The sequence below is a fragment of the Homo sapiens genome, chromosome 10, assembly GCF_000001405.40.
Source record: "Homo sapiens chromosome 10, GRCh38.p14 Primary Assembly".
Taxonomy (NCBI): Eukaryota; Metazoa; Chordata; class Mammalia; order Primates; family Hominidae; genus Homo; species Homo sapiens.
This window is the reverse complement of record NC_000010.11, coordinates 30,352,039-30,375,495: the sequence shown is the minus strand read 5'-3', so window position 1 is coordinate 30,375,495 and position 23,457 is coordinate 30,352,039. Positions and strand designations below refer to the sequence as shown.

Here is a 23,457-nt window from a genome sequence, read left to right as displayed (position 1 = left end):
GGCCAGGTGATTCTAGAAAAATGGGCCTTGTATTTGTTTTAAACTGGTAAAGAGCTTTAAGTGCTTATTAAATTGAAAGCTTTGTGTTTATATTTATTTTTTATTTTATTTTATTTTTTGAGATGGAGTCTTGCTCTGTCACCCAGGCTGGAGTACAGTGGCGTGATCTTGGCTCACTGCAACCTCCACCTCCCGGGTTCAATTAATTCTCCTGCCTCAGCCTGGTGAGTGGCTGGGATTACAGGCACCCACTATCATGCCTGGATAGTTTTTGCATATTTAGTAGAGATGGGGTTTCACCATGTTGGCCAAGCTGGTCTTGAAGTCCTGACCTCAGGTGATCCACCCCCTCAGCCTCTCAAAGTGCTGGGATTACAGGGATGAGCCACCACACCAGGCCCAAAAGCTTAGTGTTTTTTAAGATATTAGACATGTTTCTTGTTTAAAAAATATCTTAACAATAATGTAGGAGAATAAGAGAAATATTTTTCTAAAAAAGGGAAATCACTGTAATTATTTTATCTTATTGGAATGTTGAATAATATAGTCTGCTTTATTAATCATCAAGCATGCTATGGATTTTCCATTTTTATAGGATTTGTATCTTAATTGAGGTAATACTGGTAATTCTTGTACTCCATTTGAAGATGTAAAATATAGGCCAAACTCATAGACCTTGCATAGAAGCTGGATAACGAAGACAGCTCTGGAGGAACATATAGATACACACACACAGACACATATATATATATAAAGTATACACACTTTTTTTTAAAGTTTCTTTTTTAAAGTTTTAAAGCTTTTAAAGCAAAAGCTGACCCCTCCCCTCTCCCGGAGTGGGCAGCCCCTCCCCTCTCCCAGAGTGGGTGGGGACAGCGGTTGCATGGACAGCTTTCCTTGTGACACAACAGGTCCCTCTGGACATGCTGCTGCCTGGCCACACCTCCTTTCGCATTCATCATTCTCATCGACCAATGAGCTTGGATCATTAAGGCCACGCCCCTATTCTGAGTTCTAGTGGGACCCTGGTTACACCTCCTCTGGCTCAGTTGCACAACTGCCTGGCATGTGACTGGAGGTACTTTGCAGTCATTGCTGGGATTTCACTGATGTGACCCCAACGCTGCCTCCCTCTCCACCCCACGATGTTGGAAGAAACTCAACAGAGTAAATTGGCTGTGGCCAAGAAAAAGGTAAAATAAACCAGGACATGGCCCCCCAACCCAGCCACAAATCCCCTCCAGTGGCAAGACAGTTACCAGAGTCCATACCACTCCAAAGGCACACTGGGCTGGGGCCCCCAAACCCAGCACCTCTGGGGTCCCTCAACCAAAGTCTTGTCAGTCATCCCTGCCCCTTCAGTAAGCAGCCCAGCCCCTGCCCTCAGCAGTCACCCCTGGGTGATTTTGGGTGGGTGACTCCTGGGGCTCCCTGGTCCATATTCAGCCCTCACCTGCTGCTCTTTGAGCCTCTCTTTTCACATCTGTAAAATAGAAGTGGTGTTGCTTGCCTTCCATTTGTGAAGTTTAAATGAGATTTGTAATTGCTGTTGTTTTTATGTTAATCCCTAGTACATGGCCTGCTGTAAACACCCAGGACAGCCAGGAAATGTTTGTTGTTGTTTGATTTTCCTCATCCCCAGTCTCAACGGGAAGCCAGGCCGATGAGAACAGCCACTTGTCATCAGGCTCTCCCTTTAGAAGTCACTGAAAGGGCCCCAGGATGTGGTGAGGAGGGCCCCAGGCACTAGAATTAAGAGAAGAACTAACTTGCCACCAGATTGCTCGGTGACCACAGAAAAATCACTTCTTCCCCTGGGCCTCAGTTTTCTCCTCTGTAAGATGATACTGGATAAGATCAGTGTCTTTAAAACTTGTTTTTTAGCTGGAGCCCCCTTTGTTCCAATGAACCCTTACTCAGAAGTCTGTTTTTTTTTAAATGGAGATGGTGGTCTGGAGCTCTACTAGATTCATCGCCCATGTCCTGGGCCTGAGGAGAGGGGTCCGGTGAGCAGATTAAGAGCTGCATTGGTCAGGGGACTCCACTCTGTGACTGCATTGCTCAGGAGACTCTTCTATCTATTTGTTCCTGCCCCTGGCAAGGCAGCAGGTGGCCATTTGGAAGAATGGCACAGGCCATGGTTTTGATCTCTGCTGTTCCTCAGCGTTTCGTTTCCCTGAATCCACATTTTCCTCCTTCCCTGACTTTCTTGCTTCGCTCTAAGCCACTTCTGTCTTTCTCCCCCTGCCCTTGTTTTTCTCTTTTTGCCTTCTGTAGATTCAGGACATTCTGAAGGTGCTGGTGTCCAACCTTAACCATTCCAATGGGGTAGCGCTCTCCCATTGGACAAATGGAAGGTGAGGCAGTGCTGAGACCCCTCTCTGGCTTGCTCTCTCCAGCTGTGCATGCCCCTGAGGCTTCTCTGGTTTGGGGGATACTTTGGCTTATTTTATGTTGCTGCCATTAACCTTCAGCCTGTCTGCTTCTTCACCTGCTTGATTAATTGAGTTTTTTCCTTCCCTGCATCTTTTATCATCTTGGAGAAGGTGAGACATACCTTAAAGTTTAAAAGTAATTTGGGAATAATGTATAGAGCAGGCATGTGGGATCTGGGGCTTTTTGTTGTTGTCGTTGTTGAGACGGGGTCTCACTCTGTCACCCAGACTGGAGTGCCACGGTGTGATCTCTGCTTACTTCAACCTCTGCCTCCTGGATTCAAGTGATTCTCTTGCCTTAGCCTCCTGAGTAGCTGGGATTACAGGCACCTGCCACTACGCCCAACTAATGTTTCTATTTTTAGTAGAGACAGGGTTTCTCCATGTTGGCCAGGCTGGTCTTGAACTCTTGACTTCAAGTGAGCCACCTGCCCCCACCTCCCAAAGTGCTGGGATTACAGGCTTGAGCCATCATGCCCGGCCTGGGACTTGGGCTTTTGAATGCCCAGTGTGGTACTCTCAGACTAAGAGAGATGAAAAACAAAAACAAAACTGACCTTTAGGTTTTGTCCTAAAGGCAAAGATCTATAGACCACATAAAAGTTTGTGCTTATTTTGGATTAATTCACTTTGGTTTAAGAGTAGGGAACATAGGGTTAAGATAAAATGAGTTCACATTATAGCTGGAAGGGTTGAAGCTATTTTTTCAGAGGAACTAACTGTAAATGATGTGAGGTTAACCAAACAGATGAGTGACTAAGACCATAACCTCTTGAAAATCAAATGGACACTTAGCATATTTATTGGGCTTTTGACAACAAAGGCACTTTGCTAAATAAACAGTGGAGAGAATAGCTGAACAAGGTAGGGTGCAGACTGAGGGAGGCAGACTCCTCTGAAGGAGGCAAGAAAGAAGTTTGGAACATTCCAAATGCTCAGCTCAGTGGGAGGTTGGTTCTGAATGGACTTGAGGGTGGAGGAGGTGACATTTGAGGTTGGCTGGAAGATTAAAGGTGGGTAACATTCATCCATATGGGGAGTGGGGGAGGAAGGGGGAGCGGTGAGGTCATGGCCATCGTTATGAACTCATAGAGCACCTTTCAGGAGCACAAAGAGCTTGCTGGGAGACAGGGCATAGGGACACATGGGCTTGGAGATGACCTCCTCTGGCTGTGATTTGGCATTTCCTCCGTATCTAACTTGCCTGGGAGACTCCTGCCAAGCCAGAGGAGCAGGGCACAAATGGAGGCAGATCCTGCTGGAGATGGGCATGGGGAGGGGGACTGACAGAGCACCCTTGGCTGCTGTTAGACAGTTGTTCAGTCATCACACCTGTTAACCCAAGTTGGTCAGGTCTGTCCAGGTGCTGTGACTCACCTTGCCGGCTCAGAAGAGACACTGAATGATACGGTGGGGAGCACAGGCCTAGGGGAATCCTGCAGCTGAGTATCTGGCTTTTGCTCTGCCAATGGTCCAGTAGATTAGGGGGTCTGTGGCCTGTTTCCTCATGCTCTGAGATTCTGTGCCCAGCCCAGGTCTCTCTGTTCTGGAAACAAAGGCCCAGATCCCCATATTTCCTTCTTGCTGTTTTGTTTTGGTTTTTGAAGAGTCTCGTTCTCTCTCCTGGAGTGCAATGGTGTGATTTTGGCTCCCTGCAGCCTCTGCCTTCCAGGTTCAAGTGATGCTCATGCCTCAGCCTCCCCAGTAGCTCAGATTACAGACATGCATCATCATGCCAGGCTAATTTTTTTGTATTTTTAGTGGAGACAGGGTTTCACCATGTTGCCCAGGCTGGTCTCAAACTCCTGGCTTCAAGTGATTCACCTGCTTCAGCCTCCTAAAGTGCTGGGATTACATGCATGAGCCACTGTGCCCAGCCTCTTGCTGTTTTTATACTTTCTCCATAGCCATAACTGTTTTTGATGGAAGTTTTTGTTTTTTTGAATTTCTTATTTTTATTACCCCTGCATCATCTGCTACCCTGAAGGATCTGGAGGTAAGAGGCCCTGGGCCAAAGTGCAGTGGCCCTGTAGGCCAGCCCCCCAACCTCCTCCCACAGCAGGGGCTGAGTGCCCCTCTGCCAGCTGAGACAGCCCACACACACCCCAGCCCTAATGATTGTTCTCTCTACCTCTCCCCGCAATCCTCCTCCAATTCCTCCTCTCTGCATGTGCCTCAGAGCCAGTACCAAGAACTAGCAGTAGCCCTGGACTTGAGCTCCACAACAATCAATCAACTCAATGAAAACACCGAGTCATTGCTAAGAGTCCAGTGGGGTCCCCTGATTCCACACTGCCAATCCTGGGCTTCAGTTTCCCTTTGGGGCCCTGAAGAAAGGGTCTGGGGGCCTCTGGTGCTAAGGGTAAATGGGGAGCTGGGGTGCCCAGGCCTCACCCTGAGGGACCCCAGAGCATGGAGCATGCAGCATGGCTCTTCTGTTACTGCCCTCTTTGCTGCAGGGTGGAATGTCCTGCCCAGAAGGCAGCATGGCCATTTCTTGCTGCTTTTGTGTGTGGTTGTTAGAGGCAGCCTGGGGCTGAGTCAGCTGCTGTGGGTTAGTTGCGGGGCACTGTGGGGAGCGAGCACTGGATGCAGAGCTTGGAGGCCAAGTGCCCACCCTGCTGTTACCTGGCTGTGGCCTTGACAAAGTCCTAGGTGGGGGATTGCATACTTGTACTGTGAAGGTACAGAAGAGTACCTTTAGTATGTTACCATTTGTGTAGAGAGGGGGAACGTGTGTGTGTGTGTGTGTACGTACGTACTATGATAATATACATAAAACATGTCTGCAAGGATTTGTAAAAAATTCAGCAGAGAGCAACAGGGTGGCTGGGAGATACTTCCCGTCTGTACCTTCTGAGTTGTGGACTATGTGAATGTATCATCCTTTCAAAAAATGAATAAAAGATTAATTTCCCCCTTCCTATCTGTGCCCCAACCCCCAGCAAGAAAAATGGGCTTAGAGAATAGGATAGACCTGGGTATTCAAATCCCAGCTCTGTCTAAGTGACCTTAGGCAAGCACTTAACCTCTAATACTAATAATAGAAACTCTAATACTCTAATAGTAACTCTAATACTAATAATAGAGGTAATCATAGTAACTGTCTCATATGGTGGTTATGAGGATTCAGTGGGATCGTTAGCATGGTAACTGGCGAAGCACTCAATAAACATTCAAACAGTGGTAGTAATAACAGTAATAACAACAGCAATATTATCTGATCTCTCTGGGCCTCTGTTAGCCAGCTGTAAATTCGATCTTTTTCCCTGTCCCTTCCAACTTTACTGAGTTCTTTTAAAAACCAGACCACAGGCTTAGAAATGCCTTGACCTTTACTGACCAAGTTGTATATTGAGCCTAACCCTAGCCCTTTTAAGGGGCACTGTGTGGAACGGCCCAGGCTCCCCAGATCGAAACTTCTCACTCTTCACCATACAGTCCTCGAGCCGCTGTGAAGCAGTCCTCAAGCGGCAGTTATGGCAGTCCATAAAGGCTCGGGCACAGCTGGAAGCACACGTGACACAGGTGAAGCTTTGTAGAGGGAGGGATGTGGGAGGAAGATGACGCCAGGTGGCCAGGAGCAGGTGAGGACCAGTGACAGCCTTTCCTAACTTCTGTGCCCATTCTTGCAGATGTTGGAACAAGTCCAGCTAGAGACAGATGAATATACTCAACATCTAAAAGGAGAGAGGGCCCGGTGGCAGCAGAGGGTATGGAAAATGTCAGAGGAGGTGAGACCTGACCCTTAAGCCCCCCACTTTAGATAGGTCACTGGATCTTTCTGGCCATCTGTAAAATGGGAATAGTACAGCCAGAGGTGGTCATGGGTCTGGGCTTTGTAGAGGTGGAGGCAGAGAGGGAGTTGGTAGCCTGTCCAACCACCAGCCCCTCTCTCCAGGGCCCTGTCCCCCGTGCTTTGGGCAGGTTTGCACATGGAAGGAGGAGAAGAAGCATGACAGGCATCGGGTACAGGAGCTGGAGAGGAGCTTGGCCGAACTCAAAAACTAGATGGGTAAGATGGGGCTGGCATGGCCTGGGAGCAGGACTGGCATCAGAGGGCTGTGGGGATGGCTTAGAATGCCCCAGGGAGGTGGGTAGATGGAAGGGCTTTGAGGCAGAGGGAAAGAGGTCTGTGCCAGGAGACGGCAAGTCTTATAATCTCCATGAACCTCAGTGTCGCCATCAACAAAGAGGGAGGAGTGCTCATTGTCAGCCACCCACAGTGCTCTCTATCTGAAAGTGGCTTGGAAGATTGGCTACCATCCGAGAGCGAGGAATCGTTAGCAGTGAGGCCAAGTTTGGGGAGCCTGAGAGGATCTGTGCACCAAGAGAAGGGCTTTTATTTGTTGTTTTGTTTTGTTTTGTTTTGTTAACCCAGAGGCCCTTGTTGTCTGCTTCCTTTCTCAGCTGAACCCCTGCCCCTGGAGCCCCCAGCAGGGCCCTCTGAGGTGGAACAGCAGCTACAAGCTGAGGCCGAGCACCCGAGGAAGGAGCAGGAGAGTCTGGCAGGACAGCTCCAAGCTCAGGTGCAAAACAATCAAGGCTTGAGTCACCTGAACTGGGAGCAGGAGGAGAGGCTGCTGGAACGGGAGACGCTGCGGGAGCAGGAGAGGCTGCAGGAGCTGGAGGAGAAGCTGCAGGAGTAGGAGAGGCTGGGAGAGCGGGAGGAGAGTCTGCGGGAGCGGGAGGAGAGTCTGCGGGAGCGGGAGGAGAGGCTACGGGAGTGGGAGGAGAGGCTGCGGAGCAGGAGGACAGGCTGCTCGAGCTGGGGCGGAAAGCCAAGCTCTGGGAGGAGCAGGCAGAGACGTGCATGCAGGCCCTGCGGAACCACACCACCATCAACCACGTGCTCTCTCAGAACCATGAGCTCGACTAGCAGCTGGCTGGGCCACAGAGCGGCTTAGAGGAGCTGGTGCGTTGCCCCGCCTCGTGAGCCTGCCCTCCTCCCTTGCCCTCCAGGCCTTTGATTCCCCACCTGTAAGATGGGGCAGTGTAGCCCTCACGTGAAATGGTACTTCTAAAGGCACCTGTGAGCCAGAGCCCTGCTCTGATGGCTGTGGGAGAGAGGGGATAATTTTTCTAACCTGCCTCCACCCTTCCTGGTGCCATGGGAGGCAGACACCAAGTTCTGGGGTCTCCAGCTGCAGTGGGTGGCCACTGATTGCTTCTCTCTGTCCAGAACAACGAGAATAAGAGTGCACTACAGTTGGAGCAGCAAGTAAAGGAGCTGCAGGAGAAGCTGGGCAAGCTGAAGGAGACTGTAACCTCTGCCCATCCAAGAAGGGCTGGGAGGTGAGCACCAGCCTCTGGGGAGGGGAGGTGTGAGGCCAAAAGCAGCTCCAGCCCGGGGGCAGGTGACCCCAGCTCCCTCCAGGGCAGTCCTGTGACTGTTTCTTGCTTCCTGCCCTCTGACTTTTAGAGGTGGGTAGCCCTGGGCTCCTCCCAGGTGTGGACATCATCATCCCAGCTAGAGGCATGGAGCCCCCCAATCACAGGGGAGGAGTCGTGGTATAAGAGGCTCCTTATGTCAGGCATGGTGGCTCACGCCTGTAATCCCAGCACTTTGGGAGGCTGAGGCAGGAGAATCACTTGGGGTCTGGAGTTTGAGACCAGTCTGGATAACATGGCAAAACCTCATCTCTACCAATATCACACACACACACACACACACACACACACACACACACACACACACACACACACACACTAGCCGGGCATGGTGGCGCATGCCTGTAATCCCAACTACTCAGGAAGTTGAGGCATGAGAATCGCTTGAGCCTGGGAGGTGGAGGTTGCAGTGAGCTGACATTGCACCACTGCACTCTAGTCTGGGCCACAGAGTGACACTCTGTCGCAAAACGAAACAAAACAAAACAAAAACAAAAAAGTCTCCTTAGATTCAAACTAGATTCCAGCCTCAGTTCCACTGGTCGCCATTCAACCACTTTGCATCTCTAAGTCTCTGTTCCTTTAACTTCAAAAGGAAGTTAGCATTTTCCTTGCAGAGGTGCTGAGGATTAAATGAGATAATACATGGAAAGTATTAGTCATATAGCACACTTAGCAGATGGTGGTTGGCTCCCTCTGCTTTTCCACCAGCCTGTGGCCTACAGTTTAAATGGTGGGAAGAAAGGTGTAAGATTTGAGGCTGGGGAAGAAGGCATGGGGTTCTAGGAAAGGGAGGCAGTCACTTAGGCCTGGAGCAAGGGGCCAGGGGCCTGGGCGGGCAACAGAGCCCCACAGTGCCCTCAATACCCTATTAATGGGCCCAGAATCTGGAAGCCAGCCACCATGTGCCCTCATGCCCAGGGTCTTCCTGCAGGTGAAGCTGAAGAGCCAAGAGGCTCAGAGTCTGCAGCAGCAGGGACACCAGTCCCTGGGTCACCTGCAGCAGTACGTGGCTGCCTATCAGCAGCTGACCTCTGAGAAGGAGGCGCAGCACAGGCAGTTACTGCTGCAGACCCAGCTCATGGACCAGCTGCAGCAGCAGGAAGCTTGGGGCAAAGTGGTGGCAGAGATGGCCCACCAAAAGTTGCAGGAGACCCAGGGGAGGGAATTGCTGAGGACGGGGCCTTGAGGGGGATGACCTGGCAACCTCCGTGCCTTCTCACTCTCTTTCCTGGCCCCTTAGGAGCACCTGGAAGGTACCAGCCAGCAGAACCAGCAGCTACAGGCCCAGTTGAGCCTCATGGCACTCCCTAGGCAAGGTACAGGAGATCTCTCAGAGGAGGAGGAGAGAGCCCCAGAAGGAAAGGGGGACTGTTAGCAGCGTAGGATTGAGGAGTTGGAAGAGACCTTTAGAACAGCTGGTCATTATGCTGACCGGGTGTCTGCACTAAGTTTGGCATCAATATGGTGACCTCCTGGGCTAGGGGGCCAACAGGTTGCCTAAGGATGGGTGAACTGGCCCAGGTCAGAAAGGGAGTAGGTCAGAACTCCTGCACCGACTGGTAGTGGGACTGTGCCTGGGCAATATAGCAAGATCTTGGTTCTTGAAAGTAAAGATAAAGAACAGCAGCTCATTCCCCTCTGGGGAGGGGCTGGCTCAGGGTTACACAGTGAGGATGAAGGCAGAGGTGGGTCTGTAGTACCTCCCTTGTTGGGTTGTCTGAGGACCCCTCTGGCCACCCCCCACAGGAGATGGAGGAGAACATCTGGACAACGTGGAAGAGGAGGCTCAGCTTGGCCCATGCTGAGCATCCCGGAGGACCTGGAGAGCAGGGAGGTCATGGCGAGCGTGACTCACTCTGCCCCCGCTTTGCCACCTTCCTCTGTGGTCCCTCCCAGACCCCCTTATGCTCTTGGTTTCCCCACCTTCTGATTTCTGTGGACGCTCACTCCTTCCAGGAGCCAGTGGTCAGACATCATTTCACCTGTGCATTTCACCAACAGGTGCACTCTCTGAGGCCCCAAGGGAAGGGGCTGCGCTCTACCTCCCTGCCCCGTTTGTTCTGTATATGCCTCTATAAGAATACTCACCTCTTGCCTTCAGGTGGCGTTTTTCAACTCCGCTGGAGCCAGTGCCCAGGAGGAGCAGGTATGGCTTATGTGGGCAGCTGAGGGAGCAAAGGGTGTGGTGCCAGCGCCTGACTCACCCGGGTGGCCTTGGCCCAGAAGGAGCCAGAGGTAGTGGAACCAGCCCCAGGGACTGGGGATGAGTCTGTGTGTGGGTAGACTCATCAGGCCCTGCAGGGATCCATGGAGAAGTTGCAGGTGAGTGAGTCATGGCATGGGCCAAGAAGGTTGGGGGCAGAGCAGGGCAGGGCAGGTCGCTCTCAAGATGTGACCCCATTATTTTGGATCCAGAGTGGCTTTATGGACCTCCTGAAGGAGAAGGTGGACCTGAAGGAGTGGGTGGAGAAACTAGAGCTTCGATCCATCCACCTCTCAGGACAGGCAGACACCATCAGTGAGTGAGAGGCCAGGGAAGGCAGGGGGAGCTGCAGGGCCATCGGAGGGGCCCCAGCATCTGAGCCCTGTCCTCCCGCAGGAAAGTAAATCACAACATACGAGGGCCAGAGGGCAGCGCCAAAGACGCGGCACCAGGAGGAGGAGGACATCATCAGGCTGGCCCAGGACAAAGAGGAGATGAAGATGGGGCATTGCAGCACCTCTGTGGGGGTGGGGGTGGGGTGGGTGTGAGCGTGGGCAGGGGCACTGGCACCAGCGTGGCAGCTGAGCACCCCTCCCTTCAGGTGAAACTGCTGGAGCTGCAGGAGCTGGTGTTGCGGCTTGCAGGCGATCACAACGAGGGGCATGGCAAATTCCTGGCCGCTGCCCAGAACCCTGCTGATGATCCTGCTCCAGGGGCCCCAGCCCCTCAGGAGCTTGGGGCTGCTGACAAGCAGGGTGGTGAGTAGAGCCCTCAGGTGGGGTGGCCAGGCAGGAGCAGGGGAGGCTCGCACTGTGCTCAGATCCCCGCCCCGCTCTCTCCAAAGATTTTTGTGAGGTGAGCCGACAGCCTGGAGCCTGCACCAGGAGAGGCCAGGGAGGGTTGTCCCCATGACAACCCCACTGCACAGCAGCTCATGCAGCTTCTTCCTGTGATGCGGGACCCCCAGGAGTACCCAGGCTTGGGCAGCAGTCCCTGCATGCCATTCTTTTACCAGGCTGCCAAGAACAGGGAGCTAAACATCACCATCATCTAAGAGCTGGTCAAGAAATTAAAAAAGAAGAAAAAAAAGTTATGGGGTTAATCTCCTACACAATTCATTTACTTCATTTGAATGTTAGAGTCACTCATGATTATTTGTGTTTCTAATTTATAGTTTACATTTATTTGTAAAAAGTTAAAGGAGAGTGGGTCTTTCCCTGTTGTTCACTCTGGCATCCCTTAGTATCTTTCTTTTTTAATTCCATAATTGTAGGTCATTAGAATGCATATTGAGTTCGCCCTTACATGGTGGGAATTCAAACACACAAAACTCACTATTTGCACAAAACTGTTCTTTCTGGTTTGGAGTAGGCCGCCATGCTTTTTTAATGTTCTTGCAGCATGTATATTCATTACAGAATTCAGATAAAATTTGCTTATGTTCTGCTATTATGTTTGATCGAATTCGAATCACCGTGAGCTCATTAGCTCAATATGTGGTTTGCCCTCAAGTGCACACTGTTTATTACTTTGTAATATGCCACTATGAGTACTGACATTTAGAGTTGTTTAAAGGCCAAGACTGGAAACAGCCCTACCCTTATTTTCTGTGTATTGGGGATGGGAGTAATAACATTTTGGGGAGCTTTTTAAATCTCACAGAGAGGAAAATGGCCTGCTCTGGCAGGTGTGTGCAGGATAGAGTATGTTTCATGTGTTCCGGTGCCAAGAATGAGCGCTGTACTATGGTAGTTCCCTTAGGATTTGTATGTGCTCTGGGCTCATGAAGACATTGCATCGTGAGTTGTGGCCGTTGTACCCTTTTTCGATTACCTAAAAAGGGATTATTTCTGAGACATGAAAGGCTCCCATCATTGACTGTGGATGTGGAAAACCTTTCCTAGCTTAGAGCATTTATATCTATAATACATTTTAAAGTCAGAGTTCATGTTACCTGTTTTAATCACATGACTACATGTCCCAGTACACAAAAGGGCACTGGTTGGCATTCTTCTTAAAGTATTTAGTAAAGATCATAAGAAATCCTTTTAAAGTTTAAATGTCCCAGAAAGTCATACAGGCTCTAGTCAAGAATGAATTAGAGTGAAGGGAAGCTGTGTGACACCTGGCATTCCTCTCTGTTCATGGAGCTTCTTTGAGGCTAGAAGATTGATTTTACCATCTAGACCTCTCTGGCTAATACCTGTTCTTCAACCACATTGGGTTACTCTGACATAGGAATTTACTTCTTTTCCTTGAATGGAAAACACTTTAAAAAACAATAACAAACATTATTATAAACTAATATTTGTGAGAGTACTTGGTTGAAACAAAAAAGAGTTTTAGTAGACAGTATTATACTATATTTGAAAATCAAGAAGTTTATGCAACTTAAAATGTTTACAAACTGCAGTGCAATCTACTGTTTGTGAATGTCTAAGTATTATCAAGAAAAGCGTCTATACAATCACAGAGTTATATTTCCTCACAAAGTTCTTTATGAAGAGTGAAATATGTTTTTATACCTCTCAGTTTCAGTTAGAGGCATATTTTGTGCAGTATTTATGTTAATGTGCCTATACATTATGAATGAATTATTTCAGTCATACATTGTCTAAATGTGTGACTTTATGATGCTTGGGAAAGAATCAACAGTTAAACTTTATGAAGTTCTAATGTCTGTGTTCCAAAATACGTCACATTGTTAGGATGTAGGGAGGTATGTATGTGTGCTCCCTGGGGTGGAGATTTCTAGTTACTAGACCATCTCCATTTTTAGCATTTGGCATCCTCATGATACTTTTATAAATATGACATTAATAGGAGAGCAATAATATGATTTTATAGATGGAATTACAGATTTGCCTGCATTCACTGAAAGAGTACAAATATTGGGTCCTTTTGATTTCAGTTGACTCTTCCAAATTATATGAATGCATCAGTGTATTAGATAAACCCAGTTTCAGACTTATAAAGAAAAAATGTTAGACCAAATAATGTGGCTAATTAACAGTGGTGTGATTACTAGCCCAAGGGTTTAAAATGGATTTAAAGTCCTGTTCTTGCCTTTTATTTTCTGAACTTGCCACTTTTGCATTCTTTGAGTTTAGTTTAAAGACAGTTAATTTAAGTCCATTTTAAACCCTCGGGCTGGAAATTGTACCACTGTTAATTAGCCACATTATTTGGTCTAACATTTTTTCTTTATAATTCTGAAACTAGGTTTATCTAATACATCAATAAATTATTTCAAAGGTGTTTTTATAGTTCAAATCACTTCACTTTTACCCTGATAAATATAAATGACTAGGAATGACCCTCAGATAGCATTTGGCATCTGTAACCAATCTGACAATAATGTGTTCACCAGGTACCTATGGATTAAATCACATACTGGCATATTTAAGCTGGATGTCAGTCTGGAAAATGAATTTACTATATTAATGGAAATACCACTCTGTGTATGCATTTTGTCGTATATTTAAGAAAAAGCTAAAGAGAATGAAAATCGTATGACAATAACTTAAGTCTTTGTTCAAAGTGCGTGCAGTCTTTTGCAATACTTCATTCAGCCAAGTATTCTTTTCCTCATTCAGTATAAGGCAGCTTTCAATTTGCTCAGAAGGCAACATTAGAAAGTTAGAGTTCAACAGAAACATAGAATTTTAAAATGTGAGTTCAACTGAAAAAAATTGAATTTCTGTGGAAAGTAAAGAATCAAAATACCTAAAGATTGCAATATATGATAATCATTTTTAAAGTGTTTGATTAAACCTGATAGGTTTTCCAGAAATGAAAAAATCAGTTCTAAAACCAAAGCTGATTTTTAGAAAATTTGAAAATGTAAATCAGCCCTATCCATAATATAGTTTCTCTAAAACTTTATCTTAAAGAGTCATTTTAAAATAATATAACTATTAAATAATGTAACTGCTATCTTAATGTTTTGAAATTAGTTAAAACATTTTAAAATATGAATACTGTGGTTTAAAAGAAAGAAACAGGTGGGGGAGGGGAGTAGAGAAAGAAATGCCAATTCCAGTCCAAAGCTTTATTTGCCAAGTTTTCTTAGAATGACTTTTACCAACTTATGAATTCTTGTAAACAGAATGTATAATGGAAATACTGAAAGACGTTTGCCTTAATTGGTATTATTGACTGCTGCTGTGATGCCACTGTAATATAATAAATTAATAAACTATTGCAAAGTGCTGGTTTTGCCTTAAAATTTTTTTTTGTATGTCTTGAAAACTACAGTATTAAAGGAACTGAGACTGCAAATGCTGGGCAGGCTTGGCATGAGATAATCTGTTTTTATTTTTACAAAATTGTAATATAACTCTGCAAGTATGTTTATTAAAAGAGCACAAACTACAAAACAGTTATGGGATTTAAAAAGTTATGGCATGAAAAAGCTATGGGATAAAAAATGTTGTGGAAAAGTTGTGGCAAAAAAATTGTGGAAAAGAAGTAGAAAAAAGTTTTGCGAAAAGTTATAAAAAAAGTTATGAAAAAGAAGTTAAGGGATTAAAAAGCAAGTCATGGGACAAAAATAAAAATAAATAAAAGCAGGCCGCTGTCAGCAAAGCCTGGAGAAGTGGGGCTGGAGTCTCCACCCCCACCATGTCCCTAACACCCCTTCCCAGTCACCCCTTTACCATTAGGGTAGCAAGACAAGACCCCTGTTTAATGGGGGCAGACGAACAGATCCTTTGCCACCTTGACCAGGGCTGAGTCCTTAAATTTCTGGATGATGATGTTTGTTATTTACGAGCCAGAGGCTGGTGGAGTTGGTTTGTTTGGAGGAGGCCTAATGGCCTTCTTATTCGCACCGAAGCAACTTTTCCCTCTGGGGGGCTCCCATCTTCTTATTCAGAGGCACAGCTGAGTCAGGACAGTGGGGCTAACTGTAGACTAGGTGAGGGCATAGGCTGCTGGGGTGGCCCCCCTTCCCCAGTGTACATATTGTATCTGTGTAACGTTTTGTATATTCTAGGGGGTAGGGCCACCCCCTGTATTGTACCTAGCAGAGGTTGGAGCTGGTATACGGGGAGGAGGTTCTAATAATTATTTGTGGCTGGGAAACTTATTTATTGATAGCATAGGACAGAGGAAGGAGGTGGGGATGGGGTCGTGGCTCCCTGGTGATGTGACTCCTGTTTATTTTGCTTTTTATTTTGGAATAAATGGATTTAGCCATACTGCTTGACCTGGTGTGTTCCTGTTTCCCTCACTGGGTCCTGGAGTTTGTGCCACTGAACGAGGAGCCCCAGAGTGTCTGAGCATGTCCAGCTGGGCTGTTGGGACATTCCAGGCCTGTTACCTGTATGCTGCCTGGTGACACCTGGAGGATTTCACAGGGACTGCCATGACGCCTATGGGGTGAGTCCAGCCCTGACAGCCAACAGGCTCAGAAGCCTGATCTAGTGGTGACTGGAAAGGCAGGTACCAGCATCCAAGGGCACTGACTTCCATCCACCCCAGGCATCTTCCGTTCTCCGTCCCCTTGCCTGCCTCTCCTGTCTGCACCTGGTGGTCTGTTCTGTCTGTCCCTCCAGAGTGCCAGCTGCCCCACAGGCTCCCTCCAGGCTGAGTTCATGGTCCTGCCCTCTAGTGGCCAGAGCCAGCTTCACAGGGTAAGAACCAGCTAAGCTCCAGGGGCTTTCCAGGAAAAGTGTCCCTTGCAAAGGGTGTGGCCTTTTCACCACTCCCAATAGCACCCTAGAAATGGCTTGAACTTTCCCCTCCCCAGAGCTCCGCAGAGAACACAGCCAGCAGAGGACACATTCCCTGTCATCCAGAAATGGGTTTGATTCTCAGCTGAGGGACAGCAGAACTGGTAGACTGTCAGGCCACACAGCTGCCTGCACAGCAACCCCATGCTTGGTGGGGGAAAGGAAGGATGGTGGGGGCTGGCAGGCCACGGGCCGGGCAGGACAGCGAGGCTCACTGGAGGTGGTGCACTGTGGAGGGGCAATGTCAGGGGACAGCTTTCTCTTGTTGGGCCACAAGACTCCACAAGGACAGCACAGTGACTGATTCCCAGCACTACAGGTGAGGCAGTTGGCCAGGTATGGGGGTGTGTGTGTGTGTGTGTGTGTGTGTGTGTGTGTGTGTGTTATCTATAAATATATATATGCATACGAGTATTTACAGATTTTTTCTTTTTTCTTTCTTTCTTTTTTTTTTTTTTTTTTTTTGAGCCGGAGTCTCGCTCTGTTGCCCAGGCTGGAGTGCAGTGGCACGATCTTGGCTCAGTGCAACCTCTGCCTCTCGGGTTCAAGCAATTCTCCTGCCTCAGCCTGTGAGTAGCTGGGACTACAAGCACCTGCCACCATGCCCGGCTAATTTTTGTAACTTTAGTAGAGATGAGGTTTCACCATATTGGCCAGGCTCATCTCAAACTCCTGACCTTGTGATCTGCATGCCTCGGCCTCCCAAAGTGCTAGGATCACAGGCGTGAGCCACCGCGCCCGGCCTATTTATAGATATTTATAGAACAGGGCAGGGGCATACCACAGAGGTGGCACAAGTTTTCAGCAACAGTCACAGCTGGATATGTCAGCTCTCCACTACAACAGACTAAGTCACAGATGAAGCTTTGGGGCTGGGGGAGCCGCTGTCAAGTCACAGAACAGCCACCCAGGCAGGCTTGGAAAGGGAGGTCTCTGAGAAGAGGAGGGATCTGTTTAGAGGTCGAAGTGGGGCCTGAGGCTCTCAGGATGGGATGGATTTTCCTGACCCGATCGATTGGCTGGCAGTTGGAGAGAAAGCAGAGAGAAAACGGTAGAGAGAAAAGTGGGCAGAGAGCTGGTGAGGCAAGCACAGAGCAGGGGCAAGCTGCAGGAGCTGTGGGAGGGCCGGGGAAGGGAGGGTGCAGGTGTGGGTGTGGCAAGGTTCCTGGAAGAGAGGGGCTGGAAGGGAAAGGGGAGGAAGATGGAGGGAGGAGCTGGAGCTTCACAGGTAGGTCCTGGGGGCTGTGGTGGCCCTCCACACCCTACACACACTGGCCTCTCCCACGGCACCTAGGCAGTGTACCCACAGTTCAGACCAATGCTCAGCCCCCTCGGGCTTCCCTCTTCTCTGGTCACCCTGTCTTCCAACCCACTGGCCCAGGGCTGCCTCTCACCTTGGGGAGCCCCACACAACAGCCGCCAGGCCTAATAGAGAAAGAACACTGCTTGAACCAGGGTGGTGAAGCTAAAAGGGATGGATGGCTGGAGGGTGCACCTGAGGCCCTTCTGGGTGGTCAGAAAGCCCAGGACCCTCTGAAGGGACCCTGGGGGAGGCAGGGAGAGCAGGCAGCTGGATGCCACTGGCCATAGACTTATAAGTCTAAGAGGGGAGCCTCAGCTGGTTGGGGGGCTGCAGGTTGCATAGGTGAGGCTGGGCGCTTCCTGCTGGGAAAAGCAGAAGAGGGAGAGTCCATGGCAGGGAAGGCGGGTGGGCTCACTGGGTGGAGCTCAGCTGGGCCAGCAGGTACTGTGGTCCCCTTGGCTGAACAGCATAGGCAACCCCTAAGAGCAACAGGCCAAGGTGCATGAGGCCGCTGGCTGGTGGTAGTGCTTCAGCGGGGGCCAGGGACCCTGGCTTCAGCCACATGCTAGCAGCTATGATGGTACCTGGGAGAGAGGGAAGGGGGCTGTGTGTCCCTCCCTGGCCTGTGAGGTGTGTTGTGGGATGACTGTGTGCATGGGACTCTCAAGGTTTTATCCTAGATCACCACTGGATTGCCGACAGATAGAGGAGGTGGGACCCTGACTATCACACCTGCTCTGCACTCCCAGGCTGGGAGCTGGATGCCCTGCCCTGCCAGCATGACTCAGACTGCATGACAGGTGTGCCCAAGATGACGTTCATAGGTCTCTGGCCGCCTCAGAGTCCAGCCCCACACACAACCCCTTCCAAGTTCCCAGCCCCTACACCATAAACCACGAGCTCTCTGCCCTCTCTGATAGTTCCAGAAAGCACCCATGCCTGCCAGCTTGGGCATGGAGTCTGTTCCAAGAGCCCCCAGGCTCAGTCATGGAGGCTGGTGGGCTTTGGGGCTGTGGGGGCCAGCCCTGGTACCTGCGTCCAGCTGGGACGCTCTGCACCTGCAGCCAGGAGTCATCCACGGGTCCCCATGACCATGCTGACGGTGTTTGTGCTGATGTCACTGATGATGCTGAGCGCCTCCTTCAGCACGTGTTGCATGCACAGCATCTCATCACACCGCCATGCCTGCTCTGCCGACTCCTCCATCAGCGTGTTCTGGTCCCCACGCGAGTACAGGTTGTCCAGCAGCTCCAAGAAGATGAACTCCTTGGTCTGAGAGTGGGCAAAAAGGTTGGGACCTGATGCCTGTGCCACTCTGGCCACCCCGTCGGGCCCTGCTGGGACTGTGTGCTGGACTTGGAGCCCCGAGTATGGCTTTTTAGATGCGACTTCTACACTGCTTAGACTCAAAGATCTGCCTCCCCACCGCCTTTTCTCATTCAGATGGGGACACTGAGGTCCAGAGGAAAAGTCACCTGTCCAACGTCACAGATCTGAGAGGGAACCTAGGACATATCATGCCACCAGGACACCTGTTTACTCAGTTTTTCCTAAATTGTTTTTGGAGATAGGATCTCACTCTGTCGCCAGGCTGGAGTACAGTGGGCGAGATCACCGCTCACTGCAGCCTCAACCTCCTGGGCTCAAAGTGATCCTCCAACGTCAGCCTGTTGCGTAACTAGGACTACAGGCACGTGCCACCACTGAGCCCAGCTATTTTTAAGATTTTTGTGTAGGTACCAGGTCTCACTATGTTGCCTAGGCTGGCCTCAAACTCTTGGGCTCGAGCGTTCCTCCCACCTTGGCCTTCCAAAGTGCTGGGATTACAGGCATGGGCCACTGTGCCCAGTCCCGTGTTATATTTCTATGGGAGCTCTAGTCTGGACGGTGCCTCCTTCCCTGCACCTGGTCCCATAGGGCTGGTCGGCACCTCCCCCAGGCCAACCTGCACCCCTAGTGCCACAGGAGCCCCCTGCCCCCATGAGGCGGTGCATGCATGTTGTTGATCATAAGGTGCATGATGGTCTCGGGTAGGAGACCAACCACGAGGTCCAGCAAGGTCTTGTTGACAATGGCCATGTAGGATTCCACCAGGTTCTGGGTGGTCTCCATTTGCCGCTCCAGCTGTGAGTCCATGAAGTGCATGAAGCTGTCGGAGGCATTCTCCTCAGCCTTGCTGGCCTGGCGTGGAGAACACAAGGGCATCAGAGTGGCCAGGCCATGCAGCCAGGCTCCAGGAATCCCCAGGATCTCAGCCCCTCCAACGGTACCGGGAACATTGAGGCACAGAGAGAAGCAACTGGCCTGAACACACACCCAGCTCCCCACACACTCTAGAGCCCCAGCCCCACCCTAGAGATTCTGAGCTAATTGGCTGGGGGACAGCCTGGGCACCAAGAGTTTTCAGAGCTCACCTGATGATGGCAACATGTAGACAAAGTTGAGAAACACTACCCTTTGCTGTCTCCACGTTGTGTCTGCCTTGGTTTCCCCATATTGCCCCAGGCTCCAGGCTCTGGGAGAACTACAAGAATTGAGAATTAGCCCTCCCACCCAGCCACTTTCCTCCACTGCTGGGGAGTCTCTGAGCCCTCCTTTTGGCTATAGGCCTCGATGTAAACTCATCAGCCCAGGGATCAGGGGGCAGGAGTGGGGCTTTTGGGAGAGAGAAGAGTGTGAGCTTTACAGTTACACAGACCTGCGTTCATGTCCCAGCTCTGTGATTTTAGGAAAGGATCTGATTTGACTACCCTGCAAAGTGGGAAAAGTTCCCCCTAGCAGGCGGGATGCTTTTGAGACTGAAATGAGAGAAAGCTGGGCAACAATGAGTCCCTTCTGCCCCACCTCTGTGAGCCGGCCCTGTAGCATCTCCTTGGTCCTTTGAGTTCTCAGCTTTAGCTCTCTTGCTCCTGCTCCTTCTCCTCACTCTCTCTCTCTTTTCCATCCTGGCTAAGAGCCCTGCTTCTCCCCACAGTTTAACCACCCTCCCCCGTGCCCAGTGGGTGATGAAAGTCTTCCCTGGCTGTGCCAGCATCTCCCTGATACCTCATTTCTCTCCTGCATTCAACCATGATGAAGCCCAACACAGTCTCCCTCTCTCCTGCCCCATTTCCACCACTAGGTCACTGTCAGCTCTTACAGAGACCTCCCCAGTAGCTTCCACTTTGGCCTCTTCCAACCACCCATTCTGGAATTGCAGCCATATTCATCTTTAAAAGCCCAGTATTATTAAGTGACTCTCTTGCTAAATTCTGCAATGGCCTTGACTCACTATTGGCCTGCAGGATCTGGACCCTGCCTGCCTCTGCAGCTTCCTCTTGCTTCGTTCTTTCTCTCTCACTCTCTCACTCACCTCACATCCCTGAGGCACCCTTCCTCCTACTTCAGGACCTTTGCACATGCAGTTCTCTCTGCCAGAAGCATTTCTCTTGGACAGTGAACGCCTTCTCAAATAGTCCTCATTTGGGGTGCTGACTACCCACCCCATCAGATTAGGTCCCTCACTATACGCTCTTATATCTCCTTATACTTTTTCAATTAAAAAATTTTTGATCACGTGATTTATGGCCATCTCCCCAACTAGATTGTAAGCCCCAGGATGTCAAGGGCCAGGTTGGTTTTTTTTCACCATTGTAACCCCAATGCTTAGCACTGTGCCTGACACAAACTAGGGGCCATTTGGACCAAGTGCATAGGCTGTGTAGGCTTGCAGCCCCTGTGGAAATGTATGGATGAACATGAGAAATAGGGCTGGGTGCGGTGGCTCACGCCTGTAATCCCAGCACTTTGGGAGGCCAAGGCTGGTGTGTCACCTAAGGTCAGGAGTTCGAGACCAACCTGGCCAACATGGTGAAACCCCATCTCTACTGAAAATACAAAAAGTTAGCCAGGTATGGTGGCGGGTGCCTGTAATCGCAACTACTTGGGAGGCTGAGGCAGGAGAATTGCTTGAACTCGGAAGGTGGAGGTTTCAGTGAGTCAAGATCGCACCATTGCACTCCAGCCTGGGTGAGAGAGTGAGACTCTGTCTCAAAAACAAACAACCACCACCAACAACAAAAAACCACGAGAAACAGAACGACTGCATCCCCACCATTGCTTGAGTGCCTACTGGGTGTGTCTAGGCAGGTGTCACATGCTGGGTAGCATCAGAGGACAGCCCTGTTTTTCTTTTATGTGAGAAGGAAAGATTAGAGACTATGAACGGTCAGCTGTAGGATCATACAGTATCTGCCCTGCCCCACTCAGCTCAGGGCCCCTGGGGACCAGGGACATGGGGCAGGGTGCAGGGGGTTGGGGGAGAGGCTTTTGGAGGAACAGCAGTGAGTCAGTTCATTCTTGGCCTGTGATGCTGCCTCTGTAAGCGTGGAAGGTCATATTTCCCACTCTCATGCTCAGCCTGTTGGGTGCCTCTAACTTGAGCCTGTGTCACTTGTGGCATTTGGCATGTAAAAGATGCATTCCTGGTTTTTCAGCTTGGATCTCATGGTAGGTGGAGGTTTGAGATCTGAGGAGGATGAGTGTTTCAGTGGAGATGTCTGGATAACTTTTAGGATAAGTATATCCCAAATATTACATAGCACATACTCATACAAAAAACTATTTGTGGTTTATCTGATATTGTAGGTTAACTGCTTATTTTATTTGCTCAATCTGGCAACTGTAATCCTGGGGCTTCCTCATTTCCCCATGTGCTGTTTTGCCCTCCCTTCATTACACCACACTCGGCTCTCGGGGTACAAAGAGGAGTGAGACCTCCCTTCCCTCAGGGAACTCACGGTCACAGGGAGAGTTCCCATTCCTCAGGGAACTCACAGTCTAACATAAGAGATAAGAATATGAACAGAGATGACCAAAGCAATGCAAACTCTATTTCTGAGAATTTGGGAGCCCTTGTTGGAATAGGGACAGCTTTAGAATTTAGAAAAGATCACAGATCATGGAACAGAATAACAGAATAGGAAGTCCAGAAACTAATCTGAATTTTTATAAGAACATACTTTTTAGCATATGATAAAGGTGGAGTTAAGACCCTGTGAGCAAAGAAGAATTGTTCAATAAGTTTTGTTAGGGCAATTAATTAACTTCCTGGGAAAAAATCCAGCTAAAATTATTACTGCTTTAAACTTCATGCCAGAAACTAATTCCAGTTGTTGTAAAGATGTTAACAAATAAAACTATAAACATACTAACAAACTAAGAGATAACAAAAAATGAACATTTACCTGATCTTGAGGATTATGAAGGACTTTCTAAGTGTGATGCTCAGTACTGTACAGAAGGTATAAAGAAAAATTGTTCTATTCATTGTAAATTTGTTTTTCTCGATAATTTCTTCTGTCTTTTCATTTGTTTTTCTGGTGTTTTGTAACATACAGAAGTTTCGATTTTTATATAATGAAGTATATCAGTGTGGGTATTCCCACTATATGAAGGTACTCATCAACAAACGGGAAAAAGACAAACACAGTAATAGAAAAAAAATGAGTCAAGGAAATACACTGGCAATTCAGAAAAGAAGAAATACAAATGGGCAATGAATACATAAAATAATATTCATCTAGTAATAATAAAAAAGAAAAAGCAAACTCAGAGTTAGTGAGTGTTAGTGAGTGCTATAACGAAATATCTGAGACTGGGGAATTTCTAAAGAAAAGAAGTTTAACTGGCTCACAGTTCCACAGGCTGTACAGGAACCATGATGCTGGCATCTGCTCAGCTTCTGGGAAGGCCTCAGGAAACTTACAGTCACGGTGGAAGGCGAAGGGGGAGCGAGACATCTCACAAGGTGGGAGCAGGAGCCAGAGAGAGTGAGGGGGCAGGTGCCACACTTTTAAATGACTAGATCTCATGAGAACTCACTCACAATCGTGTGGACAGTGCCAAGGGGATGGTGTAAACCATTCATGGGAAATCTGCGCCTGCGATCCAATTACTTCCCGGCCCCATCTCCAACATTAGGGATTAGAATTCAACATGAGATTTAGTGGGGACACAGGAGATTTGGAAACCATGAATATAGTTTCCAAACCATGAGGGTTTGGAAAAATGAGCCTTTCATAACTGTTGTCTGAAGGTAAAATGGAACAGTTTTTCTAGAGAGCAATTTGTATTGAACATCTTAAATCTGACCAGTAACTTCTAGTATTTTATTATAAGGAAATAAAGTTGTATATCAGCTGTGACTTAACTGGGGATATTGGCTACAATGTAGCTGATCATATTTTAAAAGCTGAAAATGATACAGATGTCTACAAATAAGGTATTAGTTGAATGCATCAAGCACCATTCCCATTGTGAAACCCCATATGCAGGAGAGCCCAGGCTTGAAGCCATAGAGTATTCCTCCCCTTGCTGGGCTTACAGTATCCCCCAGTTTCTGATATC

At 48.8% G+C, this 23,457-nt stretch overlaps 1 non-coding gene and 3 pseudogenes across 2 annotated transcripts, besides 4 other annotated features; 3 read left to right on the top strand and 1 right to left on the bottom strand.

Moving 5' to 3' along the window:
* Nucleotides 753–1,712: an enhancer, noted in NCBI's record as "NANOG-H3K27ac-H3K4me1 hESC enhancer chr10:30662713-30663672 (GRCh37/hg19 assembly coordinates)". NCBI's record gives its function as "activates a minimal SCP1, AML or CMV promoter by ChIP-STARR-seq in naive H9 embryonic stem cells {active_cell/tissue: H9 hESC(naive)}" and the evidence as "EXISTENCE:reporter gene assay evidence [ECO:0000049][PMID:30033119]".
* Nucleotides 1,713–2,672: an enhancer, noted in NCBI's record as "NANOG-H3K27ac-H3K4me1 hESC enhancer chr10:30661753-30662712 (GRCh37/hg19 assembly coordinates)". NCBI's record gives its function as "activates a minimal SCP1, AML or CMV promoter by ChIP-STARR-seq in naive H9 embryonic stem cells {active_cell/tissue: H9 hESC(naive)}" and the evidence as "EXISTENCE:reporter gene assay evidence [ECO:0000049][PMID:30033119]".
* GOLGA2P6 (GOLGA2 pseudogene 6) lies at nucleotides 3,589–11,169 on the top strand (annotated as a pseudogene). Its single transcript, NR_120609.1, has 12 exons — nucleotides 3,589–4,431; nucleotides 5,877–5,963; nucleotides 6,071–6,169; nucleotides 6,363–6,450; nucleotides 6,846–7,350; nucleotides 7,618–7,730; nucleotides 9,070–9,145; nucleotides 9,576–9,669; nucleotides 9,931–10,151; nucleotides 10,245–10,347; nucleotides 10,429–10,790; nucleotides 10,877–11,169. The product of NR_120609.1 is annotated as a GOLGA2 pseudogene 6 (transcript).
* Nucleotides 6,831–6,899, top strand: MIR7162 (microRNA 7162). The gene has a single exon (NR_106985.1). It is a non-coding gene; the product is annotated as a microRNA 7162 (primary transcript).
* Nucleotides 9,197–9,432, top strand: RN7SL241P (RNA, 7SL, cytoplasmic 241, pseudogene; annotated as a pseudogene).
* Nucleotides 15,216–15,820: an enhancer, noted in NCBI's record as "H3K4me1 hESC enhancer chr10:30648605-30649209 (GRCh37/hg19 assembly coordinates)". NCBI's record gives its function as "activates a minimal SCP1, AML or CMV promoter by ChIP-STARR-seq in primed H9 embryonic stem cells {active_cell/tissue: H9 hESC(primed)}" and the evidence as "EXISTENCE:reporter gene assay evidence [ECO:0000049][PMID:30033119]".
* Nucleotides 15,283–15,332: an enhancer, noted in NCBI's record as "active region_3208". NCBI's record gives its function as "activates an Ori minimal core promoter by ATAC-STARR-seq in GM12878 lymphoblastoid cells {active_cell/tissue: GM12878}" and the evidence as "EXISTENCE:reporter gene assay evidence [ECO:0000049][PMID:35858748]".
* On the bottom strand, nucleotides 16,512–18,342 carry DNM1P17 (dynamin 1 pseudogene 17; annotated as a pseudogene).